Raw genomic sequence first — 12,302 nt, 5'->3', positions numbered from 1 at the left:
GCTCTCTTTTTTTTCCCATCTTTGTGGTTTTATCTACCTTTGGTCTTTATGATGGTGACGTACAGATGGGTTTTTGGTGTGGATGTCCTTTCTGTTTGTTAGTTTTCCTTCTAACAGACAGGACCCTCAGCTGCACGTCTGTTGGAGTTTGCTAGAGGTCCACTCCAGACCCTGTTTTCCTGGGTATCTGCAGGGGTGGCTGCAGAACAGCAGATATTGGTGAACCGCAGATGCTGCTGCCTGATCGTTCCTCTGGAAGTTTTGTCTCAGAGGAGTACCCGGCCATGTGAGGTGTCAGTCCGCCCCTACTAGGGGATGCCTCCCAGTTAGGCTACTTGGGGGTCAGGGACCCACTTGAGGAGGCAGTCTGCCCAACCTCAGATCTCAAGCTGCATGCTGGGAGAACCACTACTCTCTTCAAAGCTGTCAAGAGATTTAAGTCTGCAGAGGTTACTGATGTCTTTTTGTCTGTGCCCTGCCCCCAGAGGTGGAGCCTACAGAGGCAGGCAGCCCTCCTTGAGCTGTGGTGGGCTCCACCCAGTTTGAGCTTCCCATGGCTTTGTTTACCTAATCAAACAACTAACTCGGCAATGGCGGGCACCCCTCCCCCAGCCTCGCTGCTGCTTGCAGTTTGATCTCGGACTGCTGTGCTAGCAATGAGTGAGACTCCATGGGCATAGGACCTTCTGAGCCAGGTGCGGGATATAATCTCCTGGTGTGCTGTTTTTTTAAGCCCGTTGGAAAAGTGCAGTATTAGGGTGGGAGTGACCCAATTTTCCAGGTGCCATCTGTCACCACTTTCTTTGACTAGGAAAGGGAATTCCCTGACCCCTTGCGCTTCCTGGGTGAGGCGATGCTTCACCCTGCTTTGGCTCGCGCAAGGTGCTCTGCACCCACTGTCCTGCACCTACTGTCTGGCACTCCCCAGTGAGATGAACCCAGTACCTCATTGGAAATGCAGAAATCACCTGTCTTCTGGGTCGCTCACGCTGGGAGCTGTAGACCAGAGCTGTTCCTATTCGGCCATCTTGGCTCCTCCTATCTATATACATCTTAACAGAAAGGTGGGTAATAAATCAATTTGCAAAGGAAATTATCAGAGGTAAGACTGGACTATACAAAATCATGTCTTAAAATACTTTTAAGGCAAGTTTTAAAAGAGGATGCCTCAAGTACTTGGCAGAATTTACCTTTTTGCTCTATATTTGGTGTAGCTTTATTAGTAGTTAATAAAGATAACTCATTATATTGCATTGAGGTTAGTAAATTTCTACAAACACACACGGCATTGGAATATTTATCTGAGAGTACTTAGCTATTAATCCTAAAAACGAAGTCTTAACTGCTGTATTATCAAAAAAGCACTATCAGTTTATCTGGTGATGGTAAACAGAACAAAGGGTACAACCCAAAGGGAAAATCAGTTCATCTGCTTAGAATTTGTTTCAACCAATGAGATTAAAATATCACACTAACCACTGATGATGAGTAAAGTAAAAAAAGTAGCTACAAGAGCATGAAGCATAGCAAATCATTTCAAGTGAAACCATGTCTTACCAAGTCAATTGGATTAATTGCATTGTTGCTTAGTGCAAAAGTACAACTGACCCAACCTTTCTGTTTTTTCTAATACTCTGTCAAATCCTCTAGGGTAGCATCATCTAACAAATATAATGCAAACCACATGTGTGATTTTAATTTTTTAGTAGCCACATTAAAAAGTAAAAAGAAATGGGTGAAATTACTTTTGATAATTTATTTAACCAATATATATTTTTAAAATTGTCATTTAAACATGCAATCAATATTAAAAAAACTTCTAGTGAGGTAGTTTACATTCTTGTTAACTGATGTCTTGAAAATGTGTATTTTACACTTCTCTCACATCTCATTTTGGGCTAGCCTCATTTCAAGTGCTCTATAGCCCTATGGGGCTACTGCACCAGACAGCACAGAGCAAGAGCCGTGGGTCCCAAACTCATTCTATGACACAACCCTTTTAGAAAAAAAATGAATATGTATCCCTAACACAATATATGCATATGTATTTCTTTAGAAATTGTACACATATTATTTTATATTTTATATATGTTCTAAATTTTTTAAAATACATATCAAATGAGATACAGATAAAATAAATACATCATTAAAATTTTCACTTATTACTTCAAAAACCTCCTTACTAACAGAACTTTATTAGTAAATACAGTGTGATAAAATAAGCATCATTATATTTGAAAATCTTGATTTAACACCCGTAATATGTATAATTTATCAGTTCAAAGGTCTGTCACTAAGTTTGGCTTATTTTGATCCTTGGTTTTAATGGCTGTCAAAGCTGAGAAAAAATCTCTCAAAGATAAATATATCTAAATTAAAGAGTATATTATTGTCTGCACATGAAATCATAATATTCATTTTTCAACCCCATTCACTAATTGTTTGAAATAATTTGCCATTGTTCAGCAAGCAAATTTCCACTTCCTTGATGTCGGTGGTTTTTCAGTTTCATTTTTATATTATCAACACATGTATTCAATGTCCACTGGGCTCTTTATTATGAAGACTTGCAAAGTGGAAAATTCTGTGTGTCACATAGAACATAAAATGTCCCCCCTCCAGAAGAGGATACCTTTGCCTGGGTGAAATCCTTTCCCTTGACTGTGGGCATGACATGTGACTTGCTTCCAACCCACAGAATATGGGATGTCACTCTCGTGATTGGGTTTGTTACATAAGACTCTGTCTTAGTATCCTGGAGTGAGAGACTCTTCTCAAGACCTGGAGAAAGTGAGTGGTCCTGTTGAAAAGCCCACATGGCAAGGACCTGTGGGTGACCTCTAGGAGCTGCAGGCAGCCAACAGCCAGCCTAACGCTGGGGCCCTTAGTCATACAGTTACAAGGAAATGAATTCTGCCAACAACCTGAATGAATTAGAGGCAGATTCTTCCCCAGTAAAGCCTCCAGATGAAGACAGCCAGCTGAGACCTTCATTGCAGCCTTAGGAGATCCTATGCAATAGATACTAAACCATGCCCCTGCACCTGACCTAGGGAAACTGTGAGATAATAAATTTATGTGCTGTCTTAAGATGCTAAATTTCTGGTAATCTGTTACACAGCCATAGAAAACTAATATACTCTTTCTAATATTTTAAAGTATAGAAATATGAGTTTTTATACATAGCACATGATCATGTTTAGCTATAGAATCAAAAAATAAGGGAAACATTTTTAAATATATATTTTCAAATGCTCTATCCAAAACAAGAATTTGTTTTGTGAAACAGTCTCTTCTTCACACATTATTAAAATATAAATTTTGCAATTAAGGGATAGATTCAGTGTGTTTATATGCAAAAATTTTGTCAGGCAAACCTAAACTAATAGGACTTGTCATTAGGGAAAAGATCAACAAATTATGTACCTTTATATTTTTGTAAAAGAAAAATGTGTATCTTATCTTTAAATCCAGCTCTTTTAGTCAACCTCTGAGTGGCTGAAAAAATATCTCTTGCCATCTCATTACAAAATGACATACAGATTCTACTATATTTTTTAGTCTTGATTTTCAAATTTTTTTAATTTAATTTTTAAAATCAGTCACATCAGTATAGCCATTTGTGCTTTTCTGGTTTTAACTTCTCATCTGCATTACCTTACCTATAAACAATGCAAAGGATGAATTCCAATTTCGGTGTTATCTGTATAACATTACCCAAGAAACTTAAAAAGAAAAATCTTAGAGGGGCCGCTCTATCAGTGAATATACTTAAATATTTCCCCATAAGACATTGTTTTAATTGTAGAAGTTATTCAATCTCAGAAATATATCTTCTTTGGCTATCTGTAATTTAGTGACATACCAGAAAAATGTAATTCTTTATGCTGTTTATTATTTATTATGTTGTTAATAATAAATATTTAAAACATAATAAATCTAGCAATAGCTCACTTTAAGACATCCTAAAAACATCTGTACTTCCATCTGGCTGTAGAACAAAATTCCTATCCCGTATCATCTGCCCTAAAAGTTGTTTCTTCCAATCTTCATCAATATATTTGACATACGTACATTCCAAAAGTATTTTCGTCCAAAGAAATGTTTTCTAGTTTGTCATCATATTGCTTTTATCATATTATTTCAACCATATTTGTCACAACAGGAAAACAAGTTTTGTTCCAATGATACATGACTTTTTGTCTTTGGCCACTTCACCACATAAAATTAGAATTGTCAGCATGTAATAGTAAAACTCCAAGTCACAGTGGCTTCAATTCAAGGGAAGTTTATTTCTGTCTTAGGTAAAAGAAGTCTGTAAGTTGACAACCCAGATTGGTAGGTAGCTCATGGTCTCCTGTCTTTGCTGCTCTACCATCTGTAGCATACTTTCTCAAATTCCAATAGGATTTCTCGAAGTCCTGCTTACACTTCTAAATTCCAGCTAGGATAGGCAGCCTCTGCTATGGCAATGATCCCTGCCCCTTGAAATTCACACCCTGGTGCTATTCCATCCCCTTGAATGTGGGGTGGACCTACTGACTTACTTCTAATGAATAGAACACAGCAAAAGTGATGGAATGCCACTTCCATGATTCAGTTACGGAAGCTTATGACTTCCGAGTGCCTTACTGGAACTCCCTCTCATTCTTCTTGCCTGCTTGCTTTCATGAAGCAGGCTGCCATATCAAGAGTTGCCCTATGGAGAGACTCACGTGGCAAAGAATTGAGGGTGGCCTCTGGATAACAGCCATTGAGGGCCAGAATCCCTCAGTCTAATAGCCCATATGGAACTGAATCCTGCCAACAACAATGTGAGTTAATTTGGGAATTGGATCCTTCCCTACTGAGCCTCAAGGTGACTATAGTGTAGCCAACACCTTGATTATAGTCTTCTCAAAGACTCTGAGCTGGAGGACTCAGCTAAGCCATGCCAAGATTCCTGACCTACAGAAACTGCAAGATAATAAATGTTGTTTTAAAGTACTAAATTTTCAGGATAATTTGTTATGCAATGATAACTAATAGATTATCCAACAGGGAGGGAATAAAAGAGGAAGAAAAGTATGTCCTCCCTTCTAAGGGGGCTCTATGGAAGTCTATGATTATTTATATGTGTAACTCATTAAGTAGAATTTAGTCTCAAGGACATATATAGCTGCAAAGGAGGCTAGGAAGTACCTTTTTTTTTCACCTTGACAGCAATATTTCCTGCTAAATATTGGGGTTCTATTACTGAAAGAAAAAAAGGGAAAATGGATATTGGTATAGGCAACCACCAGTCTCTGCCAAAGCATTAACTAAGAAACCTCAGAAAAGGCTTCCAAACATCATTAAACTCAGGAAGATTTCATCAGTTCTTGGACTGAGAATGATATGGTTATAAAAATTGCTTTAAAATTATATAGTTTGTCTTCATGTTCTGGATGTATAATTTTAGAGGTCCTGCTTATCATAACCTCACACTATCTCAAGTTAATCTTGTAATGCATAATTTAAATAAGTTCATCAGGCCTAGGATAATAATTAATAATGTTTATAAATTTGTATTTCAAGTTGTCTTAATAATTTTGAAAGGTGAAGGGACAAATTTATATTAGAACTGACTAGGTAATTGCATTAGTCTTCTCAGGCTACCATAAGGAAATACCACTGGTGGTGTGGCTTAAACAACAGAAATTTATTTCTCACAGTGATGGGGGCTGGAAGTCTGAGATCAAGGTGCCAATATGGTCAGGTTCTGGGAAGGACTGTCTTCCTGGCCTGCAGACAGCTGCCTTTTCCCTGTGTCCTCACATGGCAGAGACAGAGGGAGACAGAGATCTCTCATTTCCTCTCTTATAAGGCTACATTCCTATTGGACTAGGTACCTACCCTTATGACCTCATTTAACTATAATTAATTACCTTCTAAAGATCCCATCTCTAGATAGAGCCACATTGTGGGTTGGGGTTCAACATCTGAATTTGGTGGGATGGGGGTGCAAATTTAGTTCATAGCAGTGATCATACTTTCATACTTTTACATTTATAATGTTGATAAAGAACTTGTACTAGGTGTAAGGGAGCTGACAGGTGGCCATATTCTTGTTTGCTTGTGTTTGCACTGAATACGGTCTCCAATTAATATTTCTTAGAGTAATCTATTAGTGTCATTCATCTCTTCTGAAGGTGGAAAAAATGAGAGTGCAGTTGCTAAATCCGCACCAGCCCCTGTTTGCCCCTTGCCCCTTGCCCCATGGTGTGAAGCATCTTCTGCTCTTCTTCTATGATACCTTGAGACCGATGTATGACATGAGACCATGTTAATCTGTTTAACAAATATTAGCAAAACTTAATGTATTTTTATTTATAGATACATAGATAAATATTCTAGTATTTTCTTTATGCACCTCAAAATATTAAGTAGGAGCACTCCACTTTGTAGAGCACTATTATGAGTGGGGTTTGGCTTCTACCAGAGAGTCTACAGATTTTCAGGAAGTACACAAGACCCCTGAAATTTTGTGCAGAGGTTTTGCATATGTGCCTAAGATAGTAATTAATAATGCCTGTCTCATGGAATTATTTTAAGTTTTAAATGAGAAAATCTGTTTAAAAATGCTTAGCTGAGTTTCTAACAGAAAGAAAGCTTTTTACAAATGCTAGCTTGAAATGAATAAACATATTGTTCAGTATCAATGTCAGCCAATACTAAGCAAGATGGTTTGGCAGCTTGATGTTTTACTAAAATGAAAGTTAGGGAGCAGTCAGGCCTGTTTCTTTAAAGATCATAGTGTCCTGGGTGTGAGAAAATACAGATGTTTCAATTCCTATAGATAACACTATATGGGTTAGGTTCCTGAAAAGCTTCTTCATTCATTTAAAAATATTATTAAGCAGTTATTTTGTTCCTGGCCTTTGCTAGATGCTGATCATACAATGATGAAGAGAAAATATATGGTCTTTGTTGTCAGGGTTGTTTTTTTTTTTAAATCTTATTCTCATCAGGGTAACAAATACAGGGCTGAACTAAAGAAAGACTGATATACATTTTAGGGAGAGTAGCCTTGAAAGGCTTTTTTGAAGAGGTAGCATTTAAACTGAGACCTAAAAGAAGAGACATGACTAAGTGATGCAAAAGTTCAAGGAACAGCATGAACAAATCCATAAGATTAGAAAGAGGTTGGTACGTTTGCAATTCTTATATCAGCATGGCTATGGCATGGTAGGTGAAGAGGAGAGTTTTGTAAGATGAGATTGGAAGAAGAAAGCCAGGAAAAGATTATTCAGGGCCTTCATCGTTTTTTTTAGGTGTAGTTGGAAGCCACTAGAGGCTGATTGGCTTTTTGAAGAAGATCCCTTTTGATGCTAAACATGGAAAATGGCTGAGAGAGGCTCATGAACAGATGAAGTCATCCAAGTGTGAGACAACAACAGCTTAGGCTATGGCAGAACCAATTGAGATGGCAATGGTGGACAGATGGGCATTATTCTTAGAGACAAAATTGACAAGACTTGCTGATGGAAAAGTTTGATACGGGAAGTGAAGCAAAGCAAAAATCAAAGATGACCATCAGGATTCTTGCTTAAATAACAATGTGGATGGTGGTACAATTTGCTGATATGAGTGAGGGTAAGAATAGATTTGGAATAGAAAACCAAGAGTTTCCTTTTTCTTATATTAAGTTTGAGATGCCTGTAAGACATACATATGGAGAAGAATGGTAAAGTCCAAGCAAATATGAGAGTCAGCTTAAAATAAGACAGATTTGGACTGGAGATATACCTTTGAGTGTCATTAGCATACAGATGGTATTTAAATCTATGGGAATTGATAAAGCATCCTTCTCCATAGCCCAGAGAGAGAAGGAGATAGAGGAGGAAACCAGGACTGAGCCCTGAGAACTACAAAACTTTATCAGAAATGAAGGAGCCAGCAGGATACTGAGAAAGAGTAGCTTGCAAAGTAGAAGGCAAACCAAGAAATGATAGCATCATGAAAACGAAGAGAGGAGGGTATGTCCAAAAGGAGAAAATGTTGGGATGAATGCTGCCGAGACGTCAACTAAAATAAGGACATTGCTTTAGCTAAATGAAGTCACCAGAGACCTTGACAAGCGCAGTTTCAGAGGAGTAAATGGGAAGAGGCCACGTTAATAAATGAGTGAAAGGAAGATTAGAAAGGAATGGCAGCATGTGTAAACAACTCTTTGAGAAGTTTAATATAACAGGGAACAGAGAATTAAAGCCATATCTAGAATGTGTAGGGTCAAGAGAAGGGTTTCATTACTTGTTGATTTTATGATGGGAGATATTGGAGCTTGTTTGTTTGCTGAGGGAAATGAATCAGGACAAAGGAAAGAGGGAGACTCATGGAAGGGAGAGAGATGGAATCTGGAGCCCAAGAAGGGTTTGCTTTGAGAAGAATACAGCCTCAATCCCCACTGTGATCCAGGAAGTAGGAGAGCATTCCAGATTGCAAGTGTAGGTCAGTTTGGTCCTTCAGTTATAGAAAGAGGAGGAAGGTTTCCCTCAGTGCAGCGTGAGGGGAGCTCAACAGCACTGGAAGAAAGAATGCTTGAGGTATGAGATGGGAGAAGGCACAAAATAGTGTTCCCAGCAAACGGGAAATCAACTCAAGAAACAGTAAGGATTACTGGAGGGCACCAAGTGCTTGATGAAGATATAATGTGAATTAAAGGGAAAGCAATCTCAGTTTGTGAATTTATCTGGCAACATTCATCTGCTTGGCTCTAAGCCTGGTGAAGGCAGATGATGCTCGCCTGGGCTGATGTTTTTCCAGGAGAGGATAGAAAAGGTAACGATGGACACTGGAGCTAAGAGAATTTGCAAGGGAATTATTATGATGATGGATGATGGAATCAAGACTAAAGACGGTAAATGACACCAGGAAAGGCTGTTGGTTGCGGGGGCAGACTCAGAGGAAAATATGTCCTATAGCGATTCTGAAATATGAAGAGACTTACCTTAATCAGATGAAAAGCCAAAAGATTAGACAATGAAATGGCAGGTTTGCCTGTTCAGTGCCATACACCTGGTTTAAATTTTTTTTTCCTCTGCCGTGATTGGTTTGAACATTTGTTTATCATCTCATGTAATTATATTGTGCTTGTTTAATAATTTGGCATTGATTTCCCCAGTTACTTCAAGGTGAAGCCTTCACTCCTATTCTATGAGCCATACCTCTGATTTAAGACTCCTTTCTTTGCTTACAGAGAGCCTGTTAGTCAAGATCATCTCAAAGTCAGTCATTTTCACCTTTTCTACTTAATGTTTAATGTGCAGAACTCACAGACTCGGTGGAGGAAAGCAGACCAGCCATGTTTTTCTTATTCAGCCTTGTCCAGGATAGCTTACCTTGTTAACCTGTTTACAGTCTCTTGTCAGCAAATAAATTGCCTGAGGCATGCCAGTGAAAGCACACACCTGTGACTGGCACCAAAATTAAACCCTCCAATGCCATATGGCTTGCTCCTTAGCATAAATCATGACTAACCACGCATATGCTTTGAAGGTCAACAAAGTTAGAATCTAGTTGTTCTGCAGGAGGCAGTGGAAAGTAAGAATGATGTGGTAGTTAATTATTTCTCAGAACTTCTGTTTCCACAAACTTCCAGATCTGAACTTGGACCTCATTCAAAAAAATGGGAACCTCAAAATTTCATGAAACGTATAGAAGTCATTTTGAGTCTGATACTACCCAGTCTCTTTAGGTTGAAGCCCCACTCTTGCACCAGGCTGTCAGTATTACATGAAGGTCATGCTCGGATACCCACATTGACCATGGTCTTCACCCTGACCTGCCCCAGCCTGTGCTCTACTCCCTGTATGTCCTCCTCACTTTTCTCTCCTCTCTTTTGCATGATGTCTGACACTACTTACCGGGCTTCATCTTCTCTGCTTTTTTCTTCAGCCTCAGCCAGACTGTCCCTCTGGCCATGTCATGCCTTGGACATCCTGAGTAATAAGCATATCCTCTCTGGTTTGGGGTGACTCATGGTACCTTAGATGTTGGCTTAGGGCTTCAGCAGTATCACAGTCCCTGGGTTTGCCTTGACCACAGATGTACTTTGTCAATACTTTTAGCCAATATCTGAATGACAGGGAACAAGTCTTGCATGACTTCACGGAGCTAATCCTCTAGACATGGGCCCATCTGTCCTGAAGATGTTCCTAGAACAATACCTGCCACATGGAAGCCACTCAACCAATGTTTTAATACATAATAATAATAGTTAATACATAGAGGCTGTTCACTATGTGATAGTTATACCTGTGACTAGCATTATTGTGTGATTTACAGAAATTATCCTTCAAAACAGCCCCAAGAGGGAGGTACAAGTATGCTTTCAGTTATCATGTTAATAAAGAATAGGGGGAGGTTTTGACTTAACCTCCTCCCGCATCCCACTTCTGGTCAGTGAGGAGACTGAATTTCCAGATGGCTCTGAGTCTCAGAATCATAATTATAGAATTTACTACAGTGCTTCCATTCCCAGCCCTGAAAAATGGAGCAGGCTCTAGACTCTGAAGTCAGACCAAGTATCTGGGAACGTAACATTGATAGCTAACTGCATTGAGCACTTTCTACACACCAAACCCTGTGCAGGCACTTATATGCACCATATCATTGACTTCTCACCACCTTCTCCAGGGATTGTTGTTCCAATTTTTAGATGAGTCAAGTGAGGCTCTAAGGGATAAGTGACATGTCCAAAGTTACCCAGCTAATAAGTGGTGGAGCAAGACTCTCCTAGGTCAGTCTGGTTCAGGTGCTGTTGTTCTTAACCACTGTACTTTACTGAAGGTATGAAATTTTATATTACAAAGTTATGTATCAAGACTTCTTTATCCTGAACTTGTACAAAAACTCAGTTACCCAAATGTCTACCTAAGATACTGCTTTATTACATCTTCCAGTTGAGTCAAAGTTCAATAATTGATTTAGAAATCATTTCACCAGTTAACAGCTCTCTTTTGGCTCCCAAATGTCAATTCTGAGAAAAGGGAGGAACAGAGTTTCTCACACACAAGGTAATCTTTCTCTGGAGTGAAAACGGGGCCATTCTTCAGCGCTCCTCATTGATTCGCATGAACTTTCCTTCCCCTCTGAAATTGAATTGTGTTTGGGAACTGAGATGACTGAGGAAACTCTGAGCCTTTGTTAGGAAAAGAAAAGAAAAGCAGTCAATTGAGGTCTTAAGCCTTGGGTATAAGGGCTTCCTCTGGAGTGCGTGGGCTGCCTGACTTCCCATCTCAATATGTTGGGCTCTGCCTGAATTTCATGGCCACCAGAAACTTCTCTTGCCAAGCTATCCAATTCCAGTCTTCATATCACTTGACAGGCCAGCAGATCAGTCCCCACTTCTCTGCTTCCAACCACATTGTTGCCTTTTTATATCTATCCTGCCTGCTTATTGAAATTTGCCTGCTAATTTGTCTTACCTCATCCATGAATCCACCTTCCTGATAAGCCCTTACCACATTTGTGTAATGACTAAAGGCACAAGTTTGAGGTTCACAAGACTGGAGTTCAGATCTCAGAGACTGCATTTACTTGGGTCCTTGAGTAAATTCCTTAACTTCTCTGAGCATCTGTAGCATTGCAAATAATTGGACTACCTAAAATGTTGTTATAAGAATTAAATGCAATCAGATATGTAAAGCACTTAGCGTAGGGTCTGGTGTGCAGCAAGTGATTATTACATGCTATTTACCTTTTCTACTTTCCACCAAGAGGTTTATAGTCTAATCTGTCCTCTAAAGGAATATTCATTTGGATGTTTGCTGGTGAGATGGCAATAGTTTTTGAAGACAGTCTGTAGTAGCTTGTCTCCAAGAGAATCACCATCAATTTTCTTCCCTATTTCACTTGCCATTCCCTTACTCCCTTCCCCCTACTTTGAAACTGAGCTGGCCTTAGTGACTTATTTGACCAACAAATTCAATAGAAGTGACATCTTTGCACTGACAAAAAGAGTCCTAGAAAGCCTCACAGCTTCTTCCTGGGCTTCTTGGAACACCTATTTCTGGAACAATCACCCTTGGAGGAGTTGGCCACCATGCAGGAAGTCCATCTATCCTAAAATCACTGTGCCACATGGAAAGCCCTGGAGAATAAGGCATCAGTACAGTGAAACATGAAGGGAGGCAGAGATGCCAGTCAAATGAGTGAAGACACCATAAGTGGAAGTGGCTGCTCCAGCCCCAGCTGCCTTTACTGATGCTCTGGGGAACAGAAACAAGCCACCAGCCAAACTCTTCCCAAATCCCTGACCCACAAAACCATCAGCAAATTAA

This window comes from Homo sapiens, chromosome 5, assembly GCF_000001405.40.
Source record: "Homo sapiens chromosome 5, GRCh38.p14 Primary Assembly".
Lineage (NCBI taxonomy): Eukaryota > Metazoa > Chordata > Mammalia > Primates > Hominidae > Homo > Homo sapiens.
This window is presented reverse-complemented; position numbering follows the sequence as displayed.